We start from the raw sequence: 17,539 nt of genomic DNA, 5'->3' as shown, positions 1-17,539 counted from the left end.
AAAAAATAATATTAGCCATGTGTGGTGGCGCACGCGTGTCGTCCCAGCTACTCGGGAGGCTGAGGTGGGAGGATTGCTTGAGCCTAGGAGGCAGAGGCTGCAGTGAGCTGTGATGGTGCCACTGCACTCTAGCCTGGGCGACAAAAAAAAAAAAAAAAATTAAACAGAAAAGAATCAGGAAATTAGCACTGGTACATTACCACCATGTAATCCTCACATCCCATTTAAGTTCACCCATTGTCCCAACGTTTGTTGTTAGTTTGTTTTTTGAGACAGGGTCTCACTCTGTCACCCAGGCTGGAGTGCAGTGTTGCAACCAGGGCTCACTGCAGCCTTGACCTTCCAGGCTCAAGTGATCCTCTCACCACAACCTGGGAATACAAGTGTGTGCCACCACACTCAGTTTTGTTTTGTTTTTTCTTAATTAAAAAAATTTTTTGTAGAGACTAGGTCTCACTGTGTTGCCAGGGCTGGTCTCAGACTCCTGGGCTCAAGTGATCCTCCCACCTTGGCCTCCCAAAGTTCTGGGATTACAGGCGTGAGCCATTGCAGCTGGCCCAATCATGTTTTTATAGCAAAAATGTCCTGTCAAGAATCATGTGTTGCATTTAGCTCTCATAGCCTTTCCTCCCTTAGAAGGCTACCTTGCTTGACCCCACCTCATGATTTTGGATTGAATTGTTCAGGAAAGGAAAAGGGAAGAAGAAGAAAGAAGAAAGAAGGATGAAGAAAGAAGAGCTTAATTGTGTGATTGTCTCACCCATTGATTGTTTCCTCACTAAACTTACTTGGGGTTCACAATAAACACTTTGGAGGTTAATAAACAAATTTATGTTTGTTTTGATCACTGCTTTATCTCCAAATCCTGAACATACTAGACCCTCAATAAATATGGAATGAATTAATGAATGACAGGGCAAAGAATGGGCCTGAATTATCACTAATCTTGGAAGCCTAGCACAGGGACTGGAACTCAAAGATGTTTGGTAATATTGGTTGAAATCAACTAGCATAGGGTTTACACATAACAGACTCTATAAATGTTTTTTGGTTGAATGAAAATATGAACAGTTAAATCAAAGTTAAAGGTGACCAAGATAACAGTGGCTACAATGAGCCAAGTATAGTTCTTAAGAGAAGTATCTTGTGATATAGGAACACATTATATGGCCTTGTTACTCATGATATAGGAACACATTGTATGGCCTTGTTACTCAAAGTGTGGTCCATGGAAACAGCAGCCTCGACAGCACCTGGGAACTTGTTAGAAATATAGGATCTCCAACCCTATCAAATCTTCTGCAACAGGATCTGCAGGTGATTCATGTGCACTTGAAGTTTAGGAATCACTGTTATACCGGACTGATTCCCCTTTAAGGCACATATTTGCCAGTCAGACAGATTATGTGCAAGTCCCCTGGATTGACTGTTTTGTAGCGAGGACAAAGAGTGAAGAGTACAACACACCCACTGAAGCAAAAACTCCTAGAATTACCACAGGCAAGAATTCCAAATGACGGAGATTCTATCCGTGGAAGCAAAGTGTTGATGGTCAGGCAGCTGGGAAGGGGATCATAGTATACCCCTGTGTTGTTTAATTATTTAACAGTTATTCAAAAGACACACCTATACACACCATGTACATATACATACGTGCCTGTGTAACTGGGATGGGGCAGGATGGAGGTGGGATGGGGCAGGATGGAGGGAGCCCTACATAGGCATTAACCAAAATGCAAAAACCTATAGTGGCCTCTTTTATTTTTTTATTTTATTTAATTATTTATTTATTTTTTTGAGGCGGAGTCTCACTCTTGTCGCCCAGGCTGGAGTGCAGTGGTGTGATCTGGGCTCACTGCAACCTCCGCCTCCTGGGTCCAAGCAGTTCTCCTGCCTCAGCCTCCTGAGTAGCCAGGATTACAGGTGCCCACCACCACGCCCGGCTAATTTTTGTAGTTTTGTTAGAGACAGGGTTTCACCATGTTGGCCAGGCTGGTCTCGAACCCCTGACCTCAAGTGATCCACCTGCCTCAGCCTCCCTAGGTGTTGGGATTACAGGCGTGAGCCACCACACCTGGCCAGGTGGCCTCTTTTATATTCAAATCGTGGATAATCACAGGCAAAATTTACCACATAATTTTTTTTGGAAATTTAGTTTGGAAATAATTCAGAGACACCTGGAGTTCTCTTTTAGTATCATTTTTCAGAGAAGGAAAATGGTTTTCCAGAGGGCAAAAGGAGAGGGAGAAAAGCAAAGTCCTCCTTTCCTGGGGTAATATCTCCATCTGCTGGTGTTTCAGGATAACACTAACAAAGACCTGAAAAGGCGAGTCAGATTCCATACTGTTTGCAGTGACTCGCCCTGTACTCTGGGGAATGGCTTCTTTTTTTTTTTTTTTTTTTTTTTTTGGAGACAGAGTCTCGCTCTGTCACCCAGGCTGGAGTGTAGTGGCGCGATCTCGGCTAACTGCAACCTCTGCCTCCCGGATTCAAGCAATTCTCCTGCCTCAGCCTCCTGAGTAGCTGGGATTACAGGCGTGCATCACCATGCCCGGCTAATTTTTGTATTTTTAGTAGAGATGGGGCTTCACCATGTTGGTCGGGCTGCTCTTGAACTCCTGACCTCGTGATCCCCTGCCTCAGCCTCCCAAAGTGTTGGTATTACAGGCGTGAGCCACCGCGCCCGGCCGAGAATAGCTTCTTCTGTCTCACCTCTTCTCTTCCTTTCTTGTCCCTCTGCTTCTCTTTTTCCTCCCTTCCTTTCTCCCTCTGTGTTTGTCTCACTCTCTTGTTCTCTCCTCTGGTCATTCCCATTCCTTTCCTTCATATCCCTGATGCAGACCCTCTTTGCATACCTACACACATGGATGACTCACTCCTTAAAAGGTGGACTTCTCACCTTGAACAGGTTTTTTCCTTACATGGAGCTGACTCTACCTTCTGTAGCTTCTCCCTATAGCTCCAGTTCTTCATTCCGGGGTCATGCAGAACACAATCAGCTCTTCTTGCCTGTGCCCTTCAAAAGCCTGGAGACGTCTATCATGCTTTCCATGTATCTGTTCCTCTCCTCTCCCAGCCAAAATTATCCCTCACATACCAAAGTTTCTAGGTCCCTCCTCTTCCTGGTCACCTCTGCTAGACATATGCCAGTATATCTGGATCCTTCAGGGTCCCATACAGATCAGTACTTCAGCACTGGGCTGGGTAGCACAGAACAAGGAGAATTCATCACATCCCCTGTGCATTTGTTGTAAACATCTATACTGCTCAGTTAACTTACTGGGGTTAAGAATAAACAAAAGTTCTTAGCTTTGCTTCTGCTAAGTTATATCATCCTTGTAACTTTTTTGAAAAACAAAAATTCAGAGCTTTGTATTAAGGGCTGTTAAATTTACTCAAGTTAGATTCAGCCTGTTTATATATTTAAATTTTTCTGAATATGTATTAGATAAAAAACTTATCAAATAAATACATATTTGATGTTGAAAATACAGAAACATATTAATAATAAAATTACAGTAATCTATGATATCTTCCCCACAAAAAGGCAAAAATTATTCAATTTGGTTGTATTTCTTTCTAGTTTTTTTCTCTGTGCATATGCACATTTATATAATTGATATAATACTGTATTCAATTTTGTACCTCCCTTTAAAAAAATTTCACCCAGCGCTTTGGGAGGCCAAGGTGAGCGGATTGCTTCAGGCTGGGAGCTCAGGATCAGCCTGGGCAACATAGACTCTGCCTCCACAAAAAATAAAAATATTAGCTGGGTGTGGTACATGTGCCTGTGGTCCCACCTACTGGGGGGCTTAGGCAAGACAATTGCTTGAGCCCAGGAGTTCAAGGATGCAGTGAGCTATGACTGCACCACTGCACTCCAGTCTGGGCAACAGAGCGAGACCCTGTCCCAAGGGAAAACAAACAAACAAACAAACACTGTGCCTGCTATTTTGGATGAAACTCTAGGATTTGAATTGAACATGAACATTTTTAAAAGATTATTTTTTGTTTTAAGTTCAGGGGTACATGTGTAGGTTTGTTACATAGGTAAACTCATCTCATGGGGGTTTGTTGTACAGATTATTTCATCACCCACATATTAAGCCTAATATCCATTAGTTATTTTTCCTGACCCTCTCTCTCCTCCCACCCTCCACCCTTCGATAGGCCCCAGTGTGTGTTGTTCCCCTCTGTGTGTCCATGTGTTCTCATCATTTAGCTCCCACTTATAAGTGAGAACAATATTTCATTTTCTGTTCCTGTGTTAGTTTGCTAAGGATAATGGCCTCCAGCTTCATCCATGTCCCTGAAAAGGACATGATCTTGTTCTTTTAAAAATATTCTTTTTTTAAAACACTTTATATCATTTATACATTAGATCTAAAATCTGCAGTTTCTAAGCACAACATGTTTAGATCTTTCAGATCCTTCTGCAGTTTTAGGTTATTTCTACAGAAGTACCTTTAAGTGAATGAATAACACATTCTATAATTCCTAAAAATATAGTACAGAGTGAAATAATTTAAATATAATTTAGGCACATATTGATTATGAAAATAGATTATCTCCCCATACAATACTTCACTGTCTTGGTAAAAATAATAAAGCAAAGAAAATAATTCATTTCTGAAGTTGCTTTCCTTCACTCGTAAAGGTCTGATCTTCTCCCACTATGCATATGTACCCTTTACTGTTAAGGAAAGCTTTGCATATGTAGATATAGAAGAATAAGCTACATAAATACTAAAGATATGTCATTCTCCCAAAGGAGACAAAAGTGGTTTTCAATGACTTCTTGCCTCATGTTGATGAGTCTGTAGAATTTAGAACCCATTTGGACACAGCTAATATCCCTGCTCTTGGGGTAGACATAAGGACACCAGGCCATTGGTAGGGAATACAGGCCCTTCCTCTGCTGCTGCGGAGAGATAATGACTCAAGAAAATTGGGCTAAAATTTGTTTTTAAAAAAATAAAAAATATAAGTGAAAGAATCACAGGTACTGACTGATTGGTATTACATCTTGGGCCAGCCAAATGCCTTTATTTTTACTTTATATATATTTTTTGGTGGCTGTAATCAAATGTCTGTTTAAAATTCCTCATTCTCCACTGTAGGATTCTAGCTGCAATTATATTACATTGCCTTTTAACAGGCAACTCTACCATCTTCATTCATATAGTATAAGCTTTGATTGCAGTAGATCTGGATTTAATGTCTATTTCTAAGCTGGCCCTATGTAAACTATTTGGTATTTGAATTAAACGAATACTAATGATGCACCTTGGAGTTTTGGTTTTGAAGTATCTTCCTATGCTTGTGATGATTGTATTAGAAAACTAGGGTAAGGCCAGGTGCAGTGGCTCAGGCCTGTAATCCCAGCACTTTGGGAGGCTGAGGTGGGCAGATCACGAGGTCAGGAGATCAAGACCATCCTGGCTACCATGGTGAAACCCCGTCTCTACTAAAAATACAAAAAAAATTAGCCGGGCGTGGTGGTAGGCGCCTGTAGTCCCAGCTACTTGGGAGGCTGAGGCAGGAGAATGGCGTGAACCCAGGAGGCGGAGCTTGCAGTGAGCTGAGATTGCGCCACTGCACTCCAGCCTGAGTGACAGAGCGAGACTCCGTCTCAAAAAAAAAAGAAAGAAAACTAGGCTGATAGTATAAATAGATAGAATTTCTTGGTCTGGTGTTGAGTGGAACTTCCCTAGAATGAAATTCTGAGAAATGCTCATTTACAAGTGTTGTAGTGATAGGTAAGTTCTTCCTCCATCTGGAGTTCCGCTGTACCTTTGGAATGACGGTGATGTACAACGATGTCTTTCTTTCCACTCTGTCTCAATCAGTAAGAACTGGATATTACTTTAATTTAGCTACATTTTGTTCTAAAAAGTAAACATAAAAATGAACCTGAAAAGAGTTTTAGGGAGTCTGATCTCACCATATTCATATGGTGTGACAGGTATTTAAAGAGGGGAGGCATCACTGAAGCTATTTATAAACCTGAGCAACCTTTTCCAAGTTTTCATAAAGTTTTAACAATTTAAATATCCATACTGCATCTAGGTATTCAATAAATATAATTGCATATGTTGTGCTTTCCATAAATTAAAATCCTCAAATGCATCTCAAACCAAGAGGGCATTTCCACATCATGCCTATTTAAAAGCAAATACAATAGATACTATTCGTGGTCATAAAACCAGGTAAACTCCCCTACCCCATTCAAAAGGCAGCAATATCTAGTTTCCCTACATCTATTGAATGAGTGCTTTTGCGTTAAAAATCAGAATATGGAAAAAAAAGTCAGTTTTTTCCCTTATGCATGCTGAAAACAAGCATAATCCTCTAAATGATTTTTTAAAATTTGCTGACAGTGTTATTTCTTCTAGACAACTGAGTGGGTGGAGAAAGAAAAGCGATAAGGAAAACATTTTCATCTTGCACATCTTCCTTCAGCCCCTAAAATTCTCATCTGACACTTTGCGACATGTGTAGTGGTGTCAGCATCTCTTCAAATCTAGCTCCCCTCACGTTGGACCCTCTCAGGTTGGCTTCTTGAAGATCACACCCAGACAGATCACAGTTCTCTAAATCAGTTCCTGTCAGAGTTGCTCCTCTGAGGCTACAGTTCTTCAACTTTGCATTTTTTAAGGTAGCCACTCTCAGGTTAATTCCTGTCATCTGACTTCCTTCCATATCCACACCTTTCAGATTAGCACCTTCTAAATTGGCTTTAAGACCAGAAGGATCCTCAAAATTACACAGTTTCAGAGATGCTCCTTCTGCATTAGAACAGAGCATTTGACTCCCTGGAGATTTGCACAGTCAAGCACTGATCCAGAGAGATCAGCTCATTCAAGATTTGCACAGCAAAGATTTGCATGTGCAAGATTGCAGCAGTTTAAATTGGTGATTTTGAAGTTAATGTATCGAAGATCCAAATGAGAAAGTTCAGCACCACTGAAGTTCAAACCCTGGCATCGCATTTCTGACTTGGTTGGAGTTGCTAGCAAACATCGGACAAATTCCTTTCGGGATATTGGTAAGTGATCCTCTGGTGGTTGAGAATTCTTTATTGCCACTTTTAGGTGTTCAATCAATGAGTCAATACCAAAAAATCTTGCTTCTTCTAACACACCCAATAAATCAATGCCATCATTTACAATGAGCTGTCCATGACGCAAGTAGTTCAAAATGGGTTCAAAGTACTCAGGACTTTGGTCAATTAAGAAAGCTCCTCTATGATCTTGCTTATTTCCCCAGACACCTTTGTCCTTAAACATGTGGGCCAGCATAATGTCAGGTTCTTTATTCACTAAAGTGCTCCAGGTAGTTGTAAAGTACTGCCCTCCAACATGTAATGTTAGCCAGTCTGTGTGGAATCCTAGCAATCCTTCAGGAGGCTTAGAATCTGTCTGAGGATCAATAAATGGCTCTCCCTCACACACAAATAAAACATCATCATCCCTGATCAAAACAATATCATCATTCAGTCCACCTTTCCCATTATACACACTGGTGGCTTTTATGCCGAGTTTACTGCTGGCCACAGACAGCAAATCACATGAAGTTCCATATGCAGCAACCACCTTTCCGTTCTTGGGGCTGCCGTTCAGGAACAGGGTCACCCGCCTCATTGCGCTGCCCCCGCGGGTTCCTGAGTGAGCTGCCACCCTCCCACCTGGTCCTCTTCCCACCTTTTTCTCCTCCCGCCCTTCCCCTCCCTCCACCCACTCTGATTCACCTCCCTTCGCCAAATTCCTGCCCTTGGGGACACACCACACACGCACTCTGTCCCACATGAGGGTTCGGCTGGTCCTCCTTCCCACCCCTAAAAAGGATTCTTAATACACAGTCAAATTTATCGCTGAACAATTTTCAGATGTTTTAAAATCCTCATGCTGTCTTCTAACATTGTACAAGACATTTCAAAAGATATAAGAATTAAAATCTACGATCCTTGGCTTCAGGAACTAACTTCCTAGGAGGAACACAGAAAATGGAAAAAGCATACTATAGGGTGGATACTGCTGAGTCTCTAGAATTGCCCTTTTAGGTTCTATCAGGTTTTTTTGTTTTTGTTTCTTTGGAGGCAGAGTCTCACTCTGTCACCCAGGCTGGAGTGCAGTGGTGCGATCTCAGCTCACTGCAACCTCCGTCTCCTGGGTTCAAGCGATTCTCCTGCCTCAGCCTCCTGAGTAGCTGGGATTACAGGCACCTGCCACCATGCTTGGCTAATTTTTTTGTATTTTTAGTAGAGATGAGGTTTCACCATGTTGGCCAGGCTGGTCTTGAACTCCTGACCTCAAGTGATCTGCCTGCCTTGGCCTCCCAAAGTGCTGGGATTACAGGTGTGAGCCGCCACACCCGGCCTGGTTCTGTCAGTTTTGTTGGCTTCACATATTGCCATGGTTTGAATGTCCCCTCCAAAAGTCATGTTGAAATGTAATTGCCATTGTGATAGTATTAAGAGGTGGGGCCTTTAGTAAGTGACTAGGGGCTGGGCATGGTGGTTCACGCCTGTAATTCTAGCACTTTGGGAGGCTGAGGTGAAAGAATTGCTCAGGAATTCGAGACCAGCCTGGGCAACATAGTGAGACCTTGTCTCTACCAAAAAATAAACAAGGCTGGGTGCAGTGGCTCATGCCTGTAATCTTGGCACTTTGGGAGGCTGAGGCGGTTGGATCACCTGAGGTTGGGAGTTCCAGATCAGCCTGGCCAACATGGTGAAACCCTGTCTCTACTAAAAATACAAAAAAAAAATAACTGGGCATGGTGGCAGGTGCCTGTATCCCAGCTACTTGGGAGGCTGAGGCGGGAGAATCGCTTGAACCTGGGGGCCGAGGTTGCAGTGAACCGAAATTGTGCCACTTCACTCCAGCCTGGGCAAAAGAGCAAGACTCCGTCTCAATATAAACAAACAAACAAACAAACAAAATTAGCTGGGTGTGATGGCATTCACCTGTGCTCCCAACTACATGGGAAGCTGGGGTGGGAGGAATGCTTGAGTTGGTGAGGCTGAGGCTGCAGTGAGCTGAGATCTTGCTACTGCACTCCAGGATGGGCAACAGAGTAAGATTCTCTCTGTCACACACACACATACGCGCACGTGCACACACACACACACGAAGTAATTAGGTCATAAGGGCTCTGCCTTCATGAATTAATTAATGCCATTATCGTGGGAGTGGGTTAGTTATCAGAGTAGTGGTTTTCCGATTTTAAAAAAGACTAGTTCAGCCCAATTTCTCTCTCCCTTTGTCTCATACACTGGCTTGCCTTTTCAGGCTGGAATCACCAGATTCCAATGCCATGCTCTTTGATTTCCTGGACTCCAGAACCATGAGCCAACTAATTCCCTGTCTTTATGAGTTACCCAGTGATATGGTTTGGCTCTGTGTCCTTACCCAAATCTCGTGTTGAATTGTAATCCCCAGTGTTGGAGGTGGGGCCTGGTGGGAGGTGATTGGATCATGGTGGTGGTTTCTAATGGTTTAGCACTATTCCCCTAGTGCTATCTCATGATAGAGCTCTCATGAGATCTGGTTGTTTGAAAGTGTATAGCACCTCCCCCTTCACTTTCTTCTTCTTGCTCCCACCATGTAAGATATGCCTGCTTTCCCTTCACCTTCCACAATGACTGTAAGTTTTCTGAGGCCTCCCCAGCCATGCTTCCTGTAGAGCCTATGGAACTGTGAGCCAATTAAATTTCTTTTATTTATAAATTACCCAAGTTTCAGGTATTTCTTTATACCAGTGTGAGAATGGGCTAATACACCCAGCCTGTGCTGGTGATCTGTTATAGCAACAGATAATGGGCTAAGATGTGTTTTGAAGCTTTGTTACTAGAAACATGTTCATTCAGGGGAATTATCTCTTCTTTATTAATTCACCCTTTTATCATTAGAATTGTCTTTCTTAATATCTTGCAGTATAACTTATCCTAAAATCCACTTTACCAAATATTAATATAGTCACTCCGGTTTTCTTATGATTGTCGTTTATATGATATATCTTTTTCCATATTTTTTACTCTCAACCTATTTATGTCTTTATATTTAAAACAGGTTTTCTATGCACTGCATATAGTTGGGTCTTTTTTTTAATTCAGTCTAACAATCACTGCCTTTTAATTGAAGCTTTTAGAGCATTTACATTTAGTGTAATTATCAACATTGTTGGGTTTAAATCTACCATTCAGTTACTGTTTTCTATTTGTGCCATTCCTTTTTTATTCCTTTTTCCTGCATTCTTTTGGATTATTAGAATTTTTTTAGTATTTATTTTATTTCCACTATTGGTTATTAGATATACCTCTTTAGTGTTTTCGGTGGTTGATCTAGAGAAGGGGGTGGCAAATATGACTGTCTTAGTCGGCTTGGGTTGCTATAACAAAATACCACAGAGTGAGTGACTTAAACAACAGACCTTTATTTTTCACAGTTCTTGAGGCTCTAATATCCAAGATCAAGGCGCCAGCAGATTCAGTTCCTGGTGAGGGCCCCCTTTCTGCCTTGTAGACAGCCACCTTCTTGCTGTATCCTCACACGACGGAGAGAGAAGCTCTAGTGTCTCTTTCTCTTATTTATTTATTTATTTATTTATTTATTTATTTATTTATTTTGAGGCAGATTCTTGCTCTGTTGCCCAGGCTGGAGTGCAGTGGTGCTATCTCGGCTCACTGCAACCTCCGCATGCTGGGTTCAAGCGATTCTCTTGCCTCAGCCTCCTGAGTAGCTGGGATTACAGGTGTGCACCACCACACCTGGCTAATTTTTGGGTTTTTAGCAGAGATGGAGTTTCACCATGTTGGTCAGGCTGGTCTTAAACTCCTGACCTCATGATCTGCCTGCCTCAGCCTCCCAAAGTGCTGGGATTACAGGTGTGAGGCACCACTCCATCTTCCTCTTCTTTTACAGCCACCAATCCCATCCTGGGTGCTCTACCCTCAAGATCTCATTTAAAGCTAATTACCTCCCAAAGGTCCCACCTCCTAATACCATCACACTGGGGGTTAGGGCTGCAACACATCAATCCAGGTGGAGGAGACACAAACATTCAGTTTGTAACAATGTCCCAATGGCTAAATTTGGCCTATTTTTATATAATCCTTGGGCTAAGAATGTTTATACATTTCTTAAGAGTTGCAAAAACAAAACAAAACAAAAACAAAAGGAGGAAGAAAAATATGTGATGAATATGCAACAGAGACCACTTGCAGTTTGCAAAGCCCAAAATATTTACTGTCTGTCCCTTTATAGAAAATATTTGCTGACCCCTGCTCTAGGGTTTATAACATGCATCTTTGGCCAGGCATGGTGGCTCATGCCTGCAATCCCAGCACTTTGGGAGGCCGAGGTGGGTGGATCATCTGAGGTCAGGAGTTTGAGACCAGCCTGACCAACGTGGTGAAACCCCATCTCTACTAAAAATACAAAATTAGCTGGGCATGGTGGCACACACCTGTAATCCCAGCTACTAGGGAGGCTGAGGCAGGAGAATCGCTTGAACCTGGGAGGCGGAGGTGCAGTGAGCCGAGATTGAGCCATTGCACTCCAGCCTGGGCAACAAGAGTGAAACTCCATCTCAAAAAAAAAAAAAAGAAAAAAAATGCATCTTTAAAATATCCGTGTACATAGAGATAATATTACACCATTTCACATACAATGTAAAAGCCTTTCTTTTTTTTTTTGTTTTTGAGACGGAGTCTCGCCCTGTTGCCCAGACTGGGGTGCAGTGGCACAATCTCGGCTCACACAGCCTCTGCCTCCCAGGTTCAAGTGATTCTCCTGCCTCAGCTTCCTGAGTAGCTGGGACTACAGGTGCCTGCCACCACTCCTGGCTAATTTTTTTGTATTTTTAGTAGAGACGGGGTTTCGCCACATTCACCAGGCTGGTCTCGAACTCCTGACCTTGTGATCCGCCCACCTCAGCCTCCCAAAGGGCTGGGATTACAGGCGTGAGTCACCGTGCCCGGCCAAAAGCCTTTCTTTTAAAGAAATTGAAAAACAAACAAAATCTTATTTTTATTATTCAGCTTTAGTCAGAATTTGAATGTTTCCCATCTCTGTGTGATTTTTCAGAATTGTTCTTTGCCTGGCCTATTTTAGAGTTTCATCTTACTCATACACAGTTTGGTAATCACTAACAGACTGTGGAAGATTCCTAGGAAGAATTTCTGGAAGGCTTTTTATGCCTAGGTGCCTCTTCTCCAGTAATTTACCCTGCAAATTCCTGCTGACTCACTCTCTTGGAATTCCAATCTCTCTCCTCAAATCAGTGGGAGACTACCATGCTCTGTTTGAACTCTCCTTCCTGTTTCGTTGTCCAGAAAGTGTCTCCGGGAAGAAAACTGGAGCAATTGTAAGGCTCCCTTGCTTTTGTTCCCCCCTCTCTCAGGAATCACTGTTTTGTGCTGCCTACTGTCCAATGTCTAAAAACATTATTTCACCTTTTTTTTTTCTAGTTTTCTAGGTGTTTACTCACGGAGGACAAGTACGGGAGCAGTTAGTTACTCTGTTATAGCAAAAGTGAAAGTCTCCTCATTCTTTTTTTTTTTTTCTTTCCTCAATTTTTTTTTTTTCTTTTTGAGACAGGATCTCACTTTGTCGCCCAGGCTGGAGTGCAGTGGCATGATCATGGCTCACTGCGAGTGCAGTGGCATGATCATGGCTCACTGCACCCTTGATGTCCCAGGCTCAAGTGATCCTTGCACCCAGGCTCCCAAGTAGCTTGGACTACAGGTGCACGCCACCAAACCTGGCTAATTTCTGTATTTTTTGCAGAGATGGGGCCTCCCTATGTTGCCCAGGGTGGTCTTGAACACTTGGACTCCAGTGATCCTTCTGCCTTGGCCTCCAAAAGTGCTGGAATTACAGGCATGAGCCACTGCGCCCAGCCTCCCTCAATATTTTGTTTAACAACTTCATAGATTCAATTGTATGGATGTACTCTAATTTATTTAGTTAGTCCTCACTGATGAATTGTTTGTTTTGGATTGTTTTTTAATACAAATAATGCTGCAATAAATAACTGTGCATATGTGATTTTATACTTGTGTATATGTGTGGGATAAAATTCTAAAAGTGTGATCTCACTGAGTAAGAGATTATTTGTAGATGAATTTTTGCCAACTTAAGATTCAATGATTGGAGCCCTACAGATTAACTGAAAAAAGACAGATTGACAGAAGAAAAGACAAGTTTATTCATGTATGTGGAAGTGTACAGAAAAAGTGACACTCCCTACAGTTAGAGTTAAGGATTTATGTATCATCTTAATAAGGAGAGACAGGACCTTCAAGGAAGAGAGTTCGGACTTCAAGGGAAAGCAAATGGTGAGAAACTAGTGAGAAACAAGTGAAAGCAAAGAAGTGGAAGGTACAGACAATTCTGATAACCTTTTGTTTATGTAATTTCTCATCCAGGTGCAAATGAGCTATCTCCTTTCTGGTTGTAAACCACCTGGAAAGGGGATTTGTGATGGTTGTATTTTCAGGAAGCTTTGGATAAATCAAGGAAAGAAGCTTAGATAAGATTTTTTCTTTATGGCTGCTGTTTGTTAGATGTTTTCAGCTTAAAATAATCTCCATAGCACATCAGTAGTTCTGAGTGGATTCCATTAGTAGATACTGCCAAATTGACTTCTGTAGAATCTGTACCAATTTCTACTCCCACTAGCTGTGAATAAGAATGGCTGCTTATACCTAAACCCTTGCAAACATGGCATGTTATAAAATAGTTTGATTTTTTTCTGATCCAGATAGTTGAATAATGATATCTCATTGTATTATATTTAGTATTTCTTTTGTATGAGGTAGAATGAGAATCTTTTCATGTTTATCAGCCATTTTCTTTTTCCTTTTTCTTTTTTTTTTTTAAGACGGAGTCTTGCTCTGTCACCCAGGCTGGTGTGCAGTGGCGCCATCTGGGCTCACCACAACCTCTGCCTCTGGGGTTCAAGCGATTCTCCTGCCTCAGCCTCCTGAGTAGCTGGGATTACAGGCACGTGCCACCACGCCTGGCTAATTTTTCCATTTTTAGTCGAGATGAGGTTTCACCATGTGTGTCAGGCTGGTCTCGAACTCCTGACCTCATGATCCGCCAGCCTCGGCCTCCTAAAGTGCTGGGATTACAGGCGTCAGCCATTTTTATGTCTTGTTCTATGAATTCTCTATTTGTGTCCTTTGCTTATTTTTACAGTTGGTTATTGGTCTTAATGAGATACAGGAACTCTTTATATGTTAAGGAACCTAGCCTTTTAAATCTATGTTATGGCCGGGCACATTGGCTCATGCCTGTGATCCTAGCACTTTGGGAGGCTGAGGCAGGAAGACTGCTTGAGGTCAGGAATTTGAGACCATCCTGGGCAACACAGTGAGACCCCATCTCTACAAAAAATAAAAACTTGCCAGGCATGATGGCACATGCCTGTAATCCCAACTACTAGGGAGGCTGAGGCAGGAGGATTGCTTGAGCCCAGAAGGTTCAGGCTGTAGTGAGTTGATCATGCCACCGTACTCCAGCTTGGATGACAGAGTGAGACTCTTGTCTCTAAAAATTTTTTTTAAAATCTATGTTATGTGTTGCAAATGGTTTTCTCTATTCTTTGTCTTTCAATTATGGAATTTTTTGCACAATAGAAAAATGTAAATTATTATTTAGCTTCATTTATCAGACTTACTCTCTACCGCTCAGGCTTTGTATTTTGTTTAAAAAGGTCTACTTTACTTCAAGATTATAAAATATATTGTTTGGCCAAGTGCAGTGGCTCACGCCTGTAATCCCAGCTCTTTGGGAGGCCAAGGTGGGCAGATCACCTGAGGTCAGGAGTTCAAGACTAGCCTGGTCAAAATAGCAAAACCCCATCTCTACGAAAAAATACAAAAATTATCCGGACACGGTGGTATGAGCCTGTAGTTCCAGCTCCTTGGGAGGTTGAGGCAGGAAAATTCCTTGAACCTGGGAGGTGGAGGTTGCAGTGAGCTGAGATCGTGCCACTGCCCTAGCCTGGGCGACAGAGCAAGACTCTATCTTAAAAAAAAAAAAAAAAATTCTTTCCAGGTTTTCTTCTTTTGCTATTATAGTTTGGCTTAAAAATATTATATTTGATTAAATTGATATTAAATTTGTTGTAAAAAGTCAGGTATTACCACTTGAAGGTAGTTGTCCATGTTCTCTGGCATTTTGAAGAATTGGACAAAACACACAAACAAAGCAAGGAAGTGAAAGCAGAAATTTATTTATTTATCTATTTATCGAGACGGAGTTTTGCTCTTGTTGCCCAACCTGTAGCACCATGGCGCGATCTTGGCTCACCGCAGCCTCCGCCTCCTGGGTTCAAGCGATTCTCCTGCCTCAGCCTCCCGAGTAGCTGGGATCACAGGTGTGTGCCACCATGCCTGGCTAATTTTTGTTTTGTTTTGTTTTGAGACAGAGTCTCGCACTGTCACCCAGGCTGGAGTGCAGTGGCTCGATCTCGGCTCACTGCAAGCTCCGCTTTCTGGGTTCACGCCATTCTCCTGCCTCAGCTTCCCAAGTAGGTGGGACTACAGGCGCCCGACACCATGCCTGGCTAATTTTTTTGTATTTTTAGTAGAGACGGGGTTTCACCGTGTTAGCCAGGATGGTCTCGATCTCCTTACCTCGTGATCTGCCCGCCTCGGCCTCCCAAAGTGCTGGGATTACAGGCGTGAGCCACAGCGCCCAGCCGCAGAAATTTATTTTAAACAAAAGTACGCGCCACAGGGTGGGAGCAGGGTTGAACAAGCCTGAAAAGCGTGGGATACAGAATTTTTTGGAGTTTAAATACCTCCAGAGGTTTCCCATTGGCCCACCATCAGTCTGATTGGTTGCGGGAGGGGACCAGTCAGAATGAAGAGTAGGCCAGTAACCAGTTTGATTGGTTGCAGGAAGGGACCAGTCAGCATGAAGAGTGGGCCCATGATCAGTCTGATTTTTTCAGGAGAGGAGCTATCAGAGGCCTTGCCTTGCCTTGCCTTGCCTTGCCCTGCCCTGCCTTGCCCTGCCTTGCCCTGCCTTGCCCTGCGCCTTGCCCTGCCCTGCCCTGCCCTGCCTTGCCTTCCCCTGCCCTGCCTTGCCTTTCTTTCTTTTTTTTTTTTGAGACCAAGTCTCGCTCTTGTCGCCCAGGCTGGAGTGCAGTGGCGTGCGATCTCGGCTCACTGCAACCTCCGCCTCCCAGGTTGAAGCTATTCTCCTGCCTCAGCCTCCTGAGTAGCTGGGATTACAGGCGCCCACCACCTCGCCCGGCTAATTTTTGTCCTTTTAGTAGAGACGGGGTTTCGCCATGTTGGCCAGGCTGGTCTCGAACTCCTGATCTGAGGGATCCGTCCGCTTCGGCCTCCCAAAGTGCTAGGATCACAGGCGTGAGCCACTACGCCCGGCCGGTATTTTCATTTTTCAACTGCCAGACAGAAAAAGGAGGGCTTGCAACTGCCACGGAGCAACTGCCACGCAGAAAAAGGCGTGGGTGAAAAGAGAGTGGCTTCTGATATCCAGTCAGCAGGAGTCGGCCTGAGGGTCCCCGCCTCCAGACCTTGTTATCCTGCCTCACAGGTAGATACCCAACTTATTTTTTCCATGACTGTCTTGCCTATTCTTTCAATATTATCTCCCCTTATGAATCTTAGAACTTATTTGTCTAATTTCAGAAAGTATCTTATTGATACATTTTTCGAGAAATGTATAGGTTACTTTAGGAATAATTTTGTCAGTGATTAGAAAATCTAAGCAACCTGAAATTCCAGGTTTTCCTAAATACTATTAAAGTAACAACACCTGTCTGTTAAATAAAAATTAAGGAGACCCGCTCTTTTTTTTTTTTTTTTTTTTTTTTTGAAACGGAGTCTCTCTCTGTCACCCAGGCTGGAGTGAAGTGGCGCAATCTCGGCTCACTGCAACCTCCGCCTCCCGGGTTCAAGCGATTCTCCTGCCTCAGCCTCCTGAGAAGCTGGGATTACAGGCATGAGCCACCAAGCCCGGCTAATTTTTGTACTTTTTTAATATAGATGGGGTTTCGCCATATTGGTCAGGCTGGCCTCGAACTCCTGACCTCGTGATCCACTCTCCTCGGCCTCCGAAAGTGTTGGGATTACAGGCGTGAGCCACCGCGCCTGGCCGCAGGGTTTTATTACTTTCGTTTTGTATCTATAGGAGCCTTAGTCATGAAGGAGCCATGATACATATTTATCAAATTTTTGTAATCTTCTTTAGTTACACATTTAGGTTTGTTGTCCACTTACCCCCCCCCCCCCGCCCCTTGTACTTACAAAGGTGTGGTAAACAGCCTTGGGTTTATTATTCCACATCTTTGTATTTCGGTAGCATATATTTCTAGAAAGGAATTACCATCTAGAAGGGAACAAATGCATATTTTAAATTTTGATAGATACTACGAAGTGATCGTCAAACAGGGCATCAGTGACACCCCCGTCCACAATATAGCGGGTGTCCACTTCCACACACTCCTAAATTCTGAATATACAATTTTTAAAACTTTTGCCAGCCTGTAAATC

At 42.9% G+C, this 17,539-nt stretch overlaps 1 pseudogene, besides 2 other annotated features; it reads right to left on the bottom strand.

The window, feature by feature from the left end:
* On the bottom strand, positions 6,282-7,827 carry KCTD9P3 (potassium channel tetramerization domain containing 9 pseudogene 3; annotated as a pseudogene).
* Positions 6,462-7,661: an enhancer, noted in NCBI's record as "CDK7 strongly-dependent group 2 enhancer chr9:37477128-37478327 (GRCh37/hg19 assembly coordinates)". NCBI's record gives its function as "activates an origin of replication core promoter dependent on BRD2, BRD4, P300/CBP, MED14 and CDK7 cofactors, with strong dependence on CDK7, by STARR-seq in HCT116 cells {active_cell/tissue: HCT116}" and the evidence as "EXISTENCE:reporter gene assay evidence [ECO:0000049][PMID:35650434]".
* Positions 15,036-15,867: an enhancer, noted in NCBI's record as "H3K27ac-H3K4me1 hESC enhancer chr9:37468922-37469753 (GRCh37/hg19 assembly coordinates)". NCBI's record gives its function as "activates a minimal SCP1, AML or CMV promoter by ChIP-STARR-seq in naive H9 embryonic stem cells {active_cell/tissue: H9 hESC(naive)}" and the evidence as "EXISTENCE:reporter gene assay evidence [ECO:0000049][PMID:30033119]".

The sequence above is a fragment of the Homo sapiens genome, chromosome 9 (genome assembly GCF_000001405.40).
Source record: "Homo sapiens chromosome 9, GRCh38.p14 Primary Assembly".
In the NCBI taxonomy this organism is placed as follows: Eukaryota; Metazoa; Chordata; class Mammalia; order Primates; family Hominidae; genus Homo; species Homo sapiens.
The sequence above is the reverse complement of the archived record's forward strand: the minus strand, read 5'-3'. Positions and strand labels throughout refer to the sequence as shown.